Source organism: Homo sapiens, chromosome 19 (genome assembly GCF_000001405.40).
Source record: "Homo sapiens chromosome 19, GRCh38.p14 Primary Assembly".
Classification (NCBI taxonomy): Eukaryota; Metazoa; Chordata; class Mammalia; order Primates; family Hominidae; genus Homo; species Homo sapiens.
In genome coordinates this window covers 45,782,821-45,794,983 of record NC_000019.10, presented here as the reverse complement: position 1 = coordinate 45,794,983, position 12,163 = coordinate 45,782,821, and the positions used below count along the sequence as shown (strand labels likewise).

The window sequence follows — 12,163 nt, the reverse complement described above, 5'->3', positions numbered from 1 at the left end:
AAGGCATTCCAAGAATAGGGAACAGAATGTGCAAAGACCCAAGGACAAGAGAGAGTGTGATATGTTGGGGTAGTTTTTCAAGCCTCATTTTAGGTGGTGGATAGTGTGAGGAGTTAGTGGTGAGATATGAGATTGAAAAGAGGTTGGCAGGGGCCAGATCACTTGGGGCTTAACTTTCCCCTGAGAGCACTAGGGAGCTACAGATGGGTTTTGAGCAGGGGAGGGCCCTGATCATATTCATGCTTTAGAAAGACCTCTCTAGGCCTAGTGCAGTGGGTCACACATGTAATCCCAGCACTTAGGGAGGCCAAGGTTGGCGGATCACCTGAGGTCAGGAGTTTGAGACCAGCATGCCCAACATGGTGAAACCCCGTCTCTACTAAAACTACAAAAAAGTAGCTGGGTGTGGTGGCAGGTGCCTGTAATCCCAGCCACTCAGGAGGCTAAGGCAGGAGAATCACTTGAACCCAGGAGGCAGAGGTTGCAGTGAGCCAAAATCGTCCCATTGCACTCCAGCCCACGTGACAAGAGCGAGACTCTGTCTCAAAAAAAAAAAAAAAAAAAAAAAAAGCCGGGTGCAGTGGCTCATGCCTGTACTCCCAGCACTTTGGGAGGCCGAGGTGGGTGGATCACCTGAGGTCAGGAGTTCGAGACCAGACTGGCCAACATGGTGAAACCCCGTCTCTGAGCCGAGATGGAGCCATTGCACTCCAGCCTGGGTGACAGGGTGAGACTGTCTCAAAAAAAACAAAAACAAAAACAAAATAAAACCTCTCTACATGCCAAGTGAAAGGTGGAAGTGGGGGTGAGACAGAAATCTGGGAGACCAAGAGACACGGTTGATGTGGGGGTGGGGGAAGGGCTTGGGTAGAGGAGAAGCTTGGATCAGGGAGAACAAGGAACTGAGAAAGAGGAATTCCACGTGGTCGAATGCAAAAGACTTGGAGGCTGTAAGCGGGGGCAGAGTGAAGATAAATGGTACACATCTAGGAAGACACCCAGGTCTGTGGCCTGGTTGACTGAGTGGACGGCAGAGCTAGCCCTAAGGTGGGGATGCAAGAGAGGTGGAGGATTTGGTGTAAGACGTCAATTTCATTGTAGGATTCTTTTTTCTTTCTTTTTTTTTTTTTTTTAGAGAGACTGAGTCTGACTCTGTCCCCCAGGCTTTAGTGCAGTGATGTGAATTCATAGCAGTCTTGATCTCCTGGGCTCAAACGATCCTCCCACCTCAGCCTCCCAAAGTGCTGGGATTCTCGGATTCCAGGCATGAGCCACCATGCCCGAACCATTGTAGGATTTTTTTTTTTAAGTGTGAGATGCCCTTGGGACACTCTAGGGAGAAATCGTAGAGGCCATTGACTACATGAGACTAGAAAGATCTATGATGGGGCTGGGTGGCTTCAGCAGACATGGGGAGCACTGGCTATGAGTAGGAGCTGTTGGGATCAGGGGGAGACTTTGGGTTACGAGTGGATCACTGGGACACTGGGGCACCGTGGGGATCAATACAATTTGGGAATCAGAGGTAGGTTTTGGAGGACAAGTGAGGTTGTTGAAAATAAGAAAATCATGGAAATATACATTGGAGGTTGGTGGAAAATATGAAGGATGTTTGGAGTTAGCATTAATCAATAGTGGGTCAGAGGAAGTCCTCTGAGTTGTGTGGGGACACAGGGATTTGGTGGGTCACCAAGGGTGGGGAAGAATGGTAGCAGATGCTGTGGTCATTCAGGGATTTGAATATGTCAGTGGGAAACACTGGAGGTCAGGGGAGTGTATATTGGGCGTCTAAGGAGAGACCAGGGTCACTTGGGGTTGGCTGTGACTTCATGGGAAGGCTGGACTATGGATGAGGGCTTCTTTGTCGTGGGGGAAAAAAAAAAAAAAATCCCTCCGTTGCTAGGCAAACGTTCCCAGGGCGCGGTTGCTAAGGACTTGAGCTTTCTAACTGGCCACGCCTCTTTCCATTGCGGGCTCCGCCCCCGCAGCCAACCACAAGTCGGTCACAGGCTCAAAGGCCGCGCCCACCTTCTCGCCCCGCCCACAGTCCCAGCACCGTTACCCGAGCGACCGCGGGGATTCGTCCCGCCTCCGGATCTGGGTGCCAATCGAAGAGGCGTTGCCCGGGCGACGACCCCACCTTTTCCGGCGCGGGCCAGCGGCTTCCGGGAGGGGGCCCGGCTGCGGGCGGCAGTCCGGCAGTGGCGGGGCCCGGGGGGCGCCCAAGATGGCGGCGGGCGGCGCGGAGGGCGGCTCGGGCCCCGGCGCCGCCATGGGGGACTGCGCGGAGATTAAGTCGCAATTCCGCACGCGCGAGGGTTTCTACAAGCTACTCCCGGGCGACGGCGCCGCTCGCAGGTCGGGTCCGGCTTCCGCCCAGACTCCGGTGCCGCCTCAGCCACCGCAGCCCCCGCCCGGCCCTGCCTCCGCCTCCGGTCCCGGCGCTGCAGGCCCCGCGTCGTCCCCGCCGCCCGCAGGCCCCGGACCCGGGCCCGCCCTGCCCGCCGTGCGCCTCAGCCTCGTGCGCCTCGGGGAGCCGGACAGCGCCGGGGCCGGGGAGCCGCCCGCCACGCCCGCGGGGCTGGGCTCGGGGGGAGACCGCGTCTGCTTCAACTTGGGCCGTGAGCTCTATTTCTACCCAGGCTGCTGTCGTCGTGGGAGCCAACGGGTGAGCGGCCTGCATCGTGGGGCCCTGGGTGCTGAAAGGATGGAGGTTCCAGAGAACTGATAGGAGGGTCCCCGAATTGATATGGGGCCCTGAGATAGGCATTCTAAATGTGATGGACGTTGTAGGGCGACAGCATTGGAGGGAGTACAGGATTCTGAAATGTGATGAGAGGCCCGCGGGGTGCTGGGCAGGCATCTTGGAGGTGATGGGGGAAATCCCCTTTACCCCCGTTATGCGTAGGAGTTCTGGGATGGTGACTATTGGACATGATGGGGTATCTGAGATGAGGTGGGATCCCCCGGGTTCTGGGGTGGCAGGCATTCTGCAGGTAATGGGGAATCATGAGGTGATGCAAGCCCAGAGGTGATGGAGAACCCAGTATTGCAGCCTGGAGGTGTGGGAGAGGGGTCTTGAGATTGAGCCCAGGAATGAGGAGAAGTCTAGAAGTGATGGGGGCCTTGAAGGTGATAGGGGATCCAGAAGCTGAATGGGATTCTAGAGAAAATTGGGGTCTGGAAGTCATGAGGGTCCTGGAGGAGATGAGCGTCCGGAAGCTGATGGGAGCTCTCAAGGGAATGAGAGGCCCTGGCAGGGGAATCTGCAGGTGTGATTCAGGACATCTCTAAAGCGATGTGGTGAGAACCCTGGCCGTTTATGGTGATCCCAGAAATGATGGGGATCCTTCGGAGCCCCTAGGTAATAAATGGGCCTAAAATGTGGGAGACCGTGAGGTTTGACGGGTCCCAGAACTGTGGCGGTTTAGGGACTACAAAGTGAAGAGAATGCTAGGATGTTAGGCTTTAGAGTCCTGGAAATTTGGGTGACCTCAAGGTTTGGGGGTCTTGGAATAGTGTGGTACTAGGTCCCAAGGGAGTTGCTGAGGTTATAGGATGGAGTGGTGAGGCTAAAAGGAATCGGAGCTTAGGAACTGTGTGGACCCAGAACCCTGATTATGTGGACAAGGGTGTCTCTGAATTAGAGGTGACCCAACTTTGGGGAGGCACTGTGGTCAAGGGGGATCCTTACCATCTTTTTTGCTACTCTTGTCTGTGATTTGGGTCCCCTTCCCGTCTGTGGTTGCCCCGTCCTTCGCAATCCACCTACTCACCTCCCCACTTCCCTCTGGGTTCTAACCCTGCTTCCTCTTAGTGGTTTCCCCCAACCTCAACATCCTCTTCCTTCTCCTCAGTGGCATACACCATTAACTCCTTTTCTCCCACCCCTCAAGTCCATTGACCTCAACAAGCCAATTGACAAGCGGATCTACAAGGGCACCCAGCCCACCTGCCACGATTTCAACCAGTTCACTGCTGCCACCGAGACCATCTCGCTGCTGGTGGGCTTCTCAGCGGGTCAAGTGCAGTACCTGGATCTCATCAAAAAGGACACCAGCAAGCTGTTCAATGAGGAGGTGATTGCAGCCCCCAGAGCCCCCAACTTCTCTGCCTTCTCACCTACCCACTATATGCCATTAGGATGCAGCTGCCTGCGGAACAGTGTAGGCCTGAGAGGGGCAGGACCAGGGAGAGATGGAGAATGGGGTGACAGCAGCTAATGACAGCTGCCTTTACTGTACCCAGGCCCTGTGCTGTGTTACCCTTGTGCTGAATACTTTACTCCTTGGGTTTTCTTTCTTTCTTTCTTTCTTTTATTTATTTATTTTGAGATGGAGTCTCACCCTGTCACCCAGGCTGGAGTGCAGTGGCGCGATCTCTGCTCACTGCAAGATCCACCTCCCGGGTTCATGCCATTCTCCTGCCTCAGCCTCCTGAGTAGCTGGGACTTCAGGCACCTGCTGCCACGCCCGCCTAATTTATTGTAGTTTTAGTGGAGATGGGGTTTCACCGTGTTAGTCAGGATGGTCTCGATCTCCTGACCTCGTGATCTGCCCACCTCGGCCTCCCAAAGTGGTGGGATTACAGGTGTGAGCCACCATGCCCGGTTCTTTTTTTTTTTTTTAATTGTAATTGTAATTTTTATTGTTTTTAATTTTTTTTTTCTTTTTAAGGCGGAGTCTCACTCTGTCGCCCAGGCTGGAGTGCAGTGGTACAATCTCGGGTCACTGCAACCTCCGCCTCCCAGGTTCAAGCAATTCTCCTGCCTCAGCCTCCTGAGTAGCTGGGACTACAGGTGCGCACTATCATACCTGGCTAATTTTTTTTTTTGAGATGGAGTCTCGCTCTGTCGCCCAGGCTGGAGTGCAGTGGCGCGATCTCGGCTCACTGCAACCTCTGCCTCCCGGGTTCACGCCATTCTTCTGTCTCAGCCTCCCCAGCAGCTGGGACTACAGGCGCCCAGCACCACGCCCAGCTAATTTTTTTGTATTTTTAGTAGAGACGGGATTTCACCGTGTTAGTCAGGATAGTCTCGATCTCCTGACCTCGTGATCTGCCCGCCTCGGCCTCCCAAAGTGCTGGAATTAAAGGCGTGAGCCACCACACCCGGCCAATTTTTGTATTTTTGGTAGAGATGGGGTTTCACCATGTTGGCCAGGCTGGTCTCAAACACCTGACCTTGTGATCCGCCCACCTCGGCCTCCCGAAGTGCTGGGATTACAGGCATGAGCCACCGCGCCCGGCCATTCTTTGAGTTTTCATCAACCAGTGGATACAGAAGTGTGCTGCCCATTTTGCAGATTAGAGAATTGAGGCTAGTAAATAAGTCGGGACTTAGTTGATGCCCTTGCTCTTTGAGTTCTGGGCTCTGGAGGCTTTGGATTCAAAGCCCTGCTGCACCATTTACTCATCATGTGACTTTGGGAAGGTGACCATTCTCTGAGCCTCACTTCTCCTCCTCTGCAAAATGGGATTCCAGTTCCTACCTTGCAGGACCGCTGTTGTAGAATCATACATGGAGATTGCTCAGTCCTGGGCCAACTTGGCCTACGAGGAGATACCAGTAAACGACCTTATCCGCGGGCAGGGACTGCTCTTGGCTTCTGTCTCATTCTCTCTGGTCCAGAGGAGGTGTTCCATAAATATTCTCAGAATGAGTGAATGGCTGAAGGGAGTGAACGGAACAGTCAGTGGATTAAAAATTCATTAGCTCATCCATTCACAAATAGTTTTTGAGCATCCGTTCTGTGCCAGGCACCGTTCCCAGCACTAGGGATATCACATCTCAGGGCCCTGGACAGGAGGCCCTGCCCTTTTGGAGCTTTCAGTCTAGCTGGGGAGACAGACAGTTAATCAAGTTAAGTCTTCGTGTGTCAGCAGGTGATTAAGGCCTGTTTAGAAGAAGCAGTGGGGAAGGGGCTGAGGGAAGCTTGGAGAGTTTAGTAGGGTGGTCAGGAAAGCCCTCACTAAGAGGTGATACTGAAATAAAGACCTGAAGGAGGCAGGTGAGAAGAGTTGCCTGGGGAAGGGCATTTTTTTTTTTTTTTTTCCTGAGATAGGGTCTCACTCTGTCGTCCATGCTGGAGTGCAGTGGTACGATCTTCGTTCACTGCAACCTCCGCCTCCCAGGCTCAAGCAGTCCTCCCATATCAGCCTCCTGAGTAGCTGGGACTACATGCATGCACCACCACAACTGGCTAACTTTTGTATTTTTTGTAGAGGCGGGGTCTCTTTGTGTTGCCCAAGCTGGTCTCGAACTCCTGGGCTCAAGCTATTCTCCTGCTTTGGCCTCCCAAAGCGCTGGGATTATAGGCGTGAGCCATCACACCCAGCCAAGAAGGACATTCTGAGTATCGGGGCCAGCTAGGACAAATGCAGGATTGCACAGAAGCCGTGTGGCCAGTGCAGTTACTGAGGGAGAGAAGATGGTAGATGAGTTCCAAGAAATAACGGAGGGGCTGGCTCATGGAGAGTCTGGAAGGTCACGGAGAGATTTTGCCTTACTCTTAGTTGGAAGCCTGTGGAGGAGCCTTTCTCATTGGGGCTCACCTGAGCCCTGGAAGGCAGAAGTGACTAGAGTGATTATTTGTTCAGTTCTCCCAGGGATGGGAGGCACCTCATCCTGGGAGAGCAGCTCCTTAGTTGCATACACTGGCTGCCTGAGAGCATTAGGGCCTCAGGCTCTGGAACCCTGCTTGAGAGAGGCTGCGAAGTGTTCAGAGCAGGACAGTGCCAGGTGCTGGCTGATACTTCACAGAGCATCGCTGTGGCGGCTGCAGAGGACAGACAGGCCCAGGCATTGGAGCCTGAGGCCAGTCACACAGCATTGCAGGCTTGGGGTGGTTGAATGGGATGGTGAGAGGAGGTCAGATTCTGGGTGTATTTTTTCTTTTTTTTTTATTTTGAGGTGGAGTCTCGCTCTGTCGCCCAGGCTGGAGTACAGTGGCATGATCTCCCCTCACTGCAACCTCCGCCTCCCGGGTTCAAGCAATTCTGCCTCAGCCTCCTGAGTAGCTGGGACTATAGGCGCCCGCCACCATGCCTGGCTAATTTTTGTATTTTTAGTAGAGATTTTGTATCTCTACTTGTATTTCACCATATTGGCTAGGCTGGTCTGGAACTCCTGACTTTGTGATCCGCCTGCCTCAGCCTCCCAAAGTGCTGGGATTACAGGCGTGAGCCACCACGCCCAGCCACTTCTGGGTGTATTTTGAAGGTCGAGCCCACAGGATTTGTGGAAGGATTGGATGAGGAAAAGAGGGGCAGATGCCGAGGTTTTTTGTCTAAGCACCTAGCGGGATGGGGGGTTGTCACTCATTTGTCCAGGAATTACCTTCAAGCTGCCTCCTGTGTGCACTGCTTTAAAGAATAGTGAACCAAACAAAGATCGCTTCCTTTGGGGAGCTGCCTTTCCGTGAAGAAATTTCCTACTTGAAGCCTGACGTAGTAAAGATCGGGGGAGGGTTAGACAGATACAGTGGTCCCCAACCATTTTGGCACCAGGGACTGGTCTTATGGAAGACAGTTTTTCCACAGACTGTTGGGGGGATGGTTTTGGGATGAAACCGTTCTGCCTCTGATCATCAGGTGTTAGATTCTAATAAGGAGCGCACACCTAGATCCCTCGCATGCATAGTTCATGGTGGGGTTCGCACTCTTACGAGGATTGAATGGTGCGCTGCTCCGGTAGGAGGCTGGGCTCAGGCTGTAATGCCTGCTCGCCCACCACTCACCTCCTGCTGCATGGCCTGGTTCCTAACAGGCCACGGACCACTACTGTTCCATGGCCCGGAGGTTGAGGACCCCGAGATACAGGACAATTCTGTGGCAAGCAGGACTGTCCCCTCGCCAAAGATGGGACATCGAGGCTCCTTGGAGCACCCTGTGGCCACCTTGCAGCAGCCTCTGTTTCCCCATGTTTCCATGACCTGGTGTCCATCTGTCTTCCCCAGTTTGGGAGCTTCTCTCCGAGGAGGACCTGGGCCTGGTGTGGCACCTGCTGTGTGAGCGGGGCCATGTCCAACGGCCTTCTTGGGGACTTTGGGTCGGGGAGAAGTTCTGCCTGGGTTTTACTGCCTTCTCCCAACCCCACACTGTCTCCCCTGGCAGCGGTTGATCGACAAGACCAAGGTGACATATCTGAAGTGGCTGCCTGAGTCGGAGAGCCTGTTCCTGGCATCACACGCCAGTGGCCACCTGTACCTGTACAACGTCAGCCACCCCTGCGCCTCGGCCCCGCCCCAGTACAGCCTGCTGAAGCAGGGCGAGGGCTTCTCTGTCTATGCTGCCAAGAGCAAGGCACCCCGCAACCCGCTGGCCAAGTGGGCGGTGGGTGAGGGGCCCCTCAACGAGTTCGCCTTCTCGCCCGATGGCCGGCACCTGGCCTGTGTGAGCCAGGATGGCTGCCTGCGCGTCTTCCACTTCGACTCCATGCTCCTGCGTGGGCTCATGAAGAGCTACTTTGGGGGCCTGCTGTGTGTGTGCTGGAGCCCTGACGGCCGCTACGTGGTGACGGGTGGCGAAGATGACCTGGTCACCGTGTGGTCCTTCACCGAGGGCCGCGTGGTGGCTCGAGGCCATGGCCACAAGTCCTGGGTCAACGCTGTGGCCTTTGACCCCTACACCACAAGGGCAGAGGAGGCGGCGACAGCAGCCGGTGCTGATGGGGAGCGGAGCGGCGAAGAGGAGGAGGAGGAGCCCGAGGCTGCGGGCACAGGCTCGGCCGGGGGCGCCCCGCTCTCTCCACTGCCCAAGGCTGGCTCCATTACTTACCGCTTTGGCTCGGCGGGCCAGGACACGCAGTTCTGCCTGTGGGACCTCACTGAAGACGTGCTCTACCCGCACCCCCCCCTGGCCCGCACCCGCACCCTCCCTGGCACACCTGGCACCACGCCACCGGCCGCCAGCAGCTCGAGGGGTGGCGAGCCTGGCCCAGGCCCCCTGCCTCGCTCGCTGTCCCGCTCCAACAGTCTCCCGCACCCAGCTGGCGGGGGCAAGGCGGGCGGCCCGGGTGTGGCGGCAGAGCCTGGCACACCATTCAGCATTGGCCGCTTCGCCACGCTCACACTGCAGGAGCGGCGGGACCGGGGGGCAGAGAAGGAGCACAAGCGCTACCACAGCCTGGGCAACATCAGCCGGGGTGGCAGTGGCGGCAGTGGCAGTGGTGGGGAGAAGCCCAGCGGCCCTGTTCCCCGCAGCCGCCTGGACCCCGCCAAGGTGCTGGGCACTGCGCTGTGCCCGCGCATCCACGAGGTGCCCCTGCTGGAGCCCCTTGTGTGCAAGAAGATCGCCCAGGAGCGGCTCACAGTCCTCCTGTTCCTGGAGGACTGCATCATCACTGCCTGCCAGGAGGGCCTCATCTGCACCTGGGCCCGGCCGGGCAAGGCGGTGAGTGGCCCCACACCAGCCTGCCGGGGACCTGGCAGGACCTTTCGTGGGAAGAGGCAGGCATTGGCAGAGAGAGGGCTTTGTTGCTGTCACAGCCTCTGGCTCCGTGGGGTGAGGGGAAGCCAGGGAAATCTTAGTGTCTCAGTACAAGACCTCTCAGATCCTTAGAGTGAGGGGGTCTAGCCCTAGGCAGCAGGCAGCAGAAAGAGGGGTGGGTGTGAGAGCCAGCTAGGAATTGGGGCATCCAAGGCTGGCCGTCTGAAGGGCAGCAGATGGGCCCCACATGGCCAGGTCTTACTGCCTGTCACTCGAACCAGAATCTATTTCTGTTGAACATCTGTTTTTTAAATCGTGAAACTTTTTTGAGTACTTCAGGCCAAAACTAGGGGCGAGCTCAAGCCTGTGGGCATGGCTGCCAGCCTGGGTCTGGGACTCAGGATCTGAGCCTCCTGCTGAAGGCACAGGCTGGGAATCCCAGGCCTGGGTTCCAGTCCCACTCCCTCTGTGACCCTGGACAAGTCACTGCCCCCTCTGACCTCCAACTCATCACCTCTTAGAACAGAGCCTGTAGGATGGGCAGTGGGTGGATGTGCTTGCCTCCTGGGTGGGCTGTGGCGTTGGGAAGGTCATAGTAGGCGAATCAGGCCTGGCATCTTGTAAGTTCGGAGCTCGTCTTGGGTGTCTCAGCTTCTTAGGGCTTGGACTCAGTTGCCCAGGGTCCTGGAGGCCGTGGCTTGGTTCCTCAGATCCTCAGTTTTGGAATCGTAGAGTCCTGAGTCCCTAGAACTTGAGAGCACAGTCTGAGTGACTCAGAGGCAAGAGTGGTGGGATTTGGGGAGTCTGGTTGAGTCCTAAAAGAGACCCCTCTGTCTCCGTAGTTCACAGACGAGGAGACCGAGGCCCAGACAGGGGAAGGAAGTTGGCCCAGGTCACCCAGCAAGTCAGTGGTAGAGGTAGGACTGTCCCTGAGTTCTTTCCCCAGCACCTCAGGGTCCCTCCCAAGTTAGAAGGGAGCTCCAGTTTCCCCCTCCCCTCCCACCCTTACCCTTACCCCATGGTCTCACTCAGGATCCGCCAAGGACTTTGATTATTGCGTGAAAGTGCTGACTGCCAGGACAGGAAGCTAGCTAAGATGCAAGTTCCCAGCCTAGAGCAGTGGCCTCTGGGGGGTCTAGGGCGGACCCAAGGGCAAGGCCAGGGTGGCAGCAGCTTTGGGGACTCTGGGCTGGCTCCCTCCCCTTGACACTGGCTGAAGCCCAGGTGGTCTCTAACCCCTCCCATCTCTCCCTCTCATCTTCCCCAGGGCATCTCCTCCCAACCAGGCAACTCCCCGAGTGGCACAGTGGTGTGAAGCCATGGATATCGGGCCCCCCCAACCCCATGCCCCCAGCCTCCTAGCCATAACCCTCCCTGCTGACCTCACAGATCAACGTATTAACAAGACTAACCATGATGGATGGACTGCTCCAGTCCCCCCACCTGCACAAAATTTGGGGGCCCCCCAGACTGGCCCGGACACGGGCGATGTAATAGCCCTTGTGGCCTCAGCCTTGTCCCCCACCCACTGCCAAGTACAATGACCTCTTCCTCTGAAACATCAGTGTTACCCTCATCCCTGTCCCCAGCATGTGACTGGTCACTCCTGGGGAGAGACTCCCCGCCCCTGCCACAAGAGCCCCAGGTCTGCAGTGTGCCCCTCAGTTGAGTGGGCAGGGCCGGGGGTGGTCCAGCCCTCGCCCGGCCCCCACCCCAGCTGCCCTTGCTATTGTCTGTGCTTTTGAAGAGTGTTAAATTATGGAAGCCCCTCAGGTTCCTCCCTGTCCCGCAGGACCTCTTATTTATACTAAAGTTCCCTGTTTTCTCAGCGGGTCTGTCCCCTTCGGAGGAGATGATGTAGAGGACCTGTGTGTGTACTCTGTGGTTCTAGGCAGTCCGCTTTCCCCAGAGGAGGAGTGCAGGCCTGCTCCCAGCCCAGCGCCTCCCACCCCTTTTCATAGCAGGAAAAGCCGGAGCCCAGGGAGGGAACGGACCTGCGAGTCACACAACTGGTGACCCACACCAGCGGCTGGAGCAGGACCCTCTTGGGGAGAAGAGCATCCTGCCCGCAGCCAGGGCCCCTCATCAAAGTCCTCGGTGTTTTTTAAATTATCAGAACTGCCCAGGACCACGTTTCCCAGGCCCTGCCCAGCTGGGACTCCTCGGTCCTTGCCTCCTAGTTTCTCAGGCCTGGCCCTCTCAAGGCCCAGGCACCCCAGGCCGGTTGGAGGCCCCGACTTCCACTCTGGAGAACCGTCCACCCTGGAAAGAAGAGCTCAGATTCCTCTTGGCTCTCGGAGCCGCAGGGAGTGTGTCTTCCCGCGCCACCCTCCACCCCCCGAAATGTTTCTGTTTCTAATCCCAGCCTGGGCAGGAATGTGGCTCCCCGGCCAGGGGCCAAGGAGCTATTTTGGGGTCTCGTTTGCCCAGGGAGGGCTTGGCTCCACCACTTTCCTCCCCCAGCCTTTGGGCAGCAGGTCACCCCTGTTCAGGCTCTGAGGGTGCCCCCTCCTGGTCCTGTCCTCACCACCCCTTCCCCACCTCCTGGGAAAAAAAAAAAAAAAAAAAAAAAAAGCTGGTATAAAGCAGAGAGCCTGAGGGCTAAATTTAACTGTCCGAGTCGGAATCCATCTCTGAGTCACCCAAGAAGCTGCCCTGGCCTCCCGTCCCCTTCCCAGGCCTCAACCCCTTTCTCCCACCCAGCCCCAACCCCCAGCCCTCACCCCCTAGCCCCCAG

General features: G+C 56.6%; 1 protein-coding gene across 1 annotated transcript, besides 3 other annotated features; it reads left to right on the top strand.

Moving 5' to 3' along the window:
* Positions 2,011 to 2,490: a silencer, noted in NCBI's record as "silent region_10799". NCBI's record gives its function as "represses an Ori minimal core promoter by ATAC-STARR-seq in GM12878 lymphoblastoid cells {active_cell/tissue: GM12878}" and the evidence as "EXISTENCE:reporter gene assay evidence [ECO:0000049][PMID:35858748]".
* Positions 2,139 to 12,037, top strand: DMWD (DM1 locus, WD repeat containing). The gene is made up of 5 exons (NM_004943.2): positions 2,139 to 2,668; positions 3,897 to 4,079; positions 8,113 to 9,390; positions 10,269 to 10,343; positions 10,694 to 12,037. The coding sequence occupies exons 1-5, from the start codon at positions 2,228 to 2,230 to the stop codon at positions 10,739 to 10,741; spliced, it is 2,025 nt and encodes a 674-aa protein (NP_004934.1). The 5' UTR covers positions 2,139 to 2,227; the 3' UTR covers positions 10,742 to 12,037.
* Positions 3,639 to 3,688: an enhancer, noted in NCBI's record as "active region_14822". NCBI's record gives its function as "activates an Ori minimal core promoter by ATAC-STARR-seq in GM12878 lymphoblastoid cells {active_cell/tissue: GM12878}" and the evidence as "EXISTENCE:reporter gene assay evidence [ECO:0000049][PMID:35858748]".
* Positions 3,709 to 3,768: an enhancer, noted in NCBI's record as "active region_14821". NCBI's record gives its function as "activates an Ori minimal core promoter by ATAC-STARR-seq in GM12878 lymphoblastoid cells {active_cell/tissue: GM12878}" and the evidence as "EXISTENCE:reporter gene assay evidence [ECO:0000049][PMID:35858748]".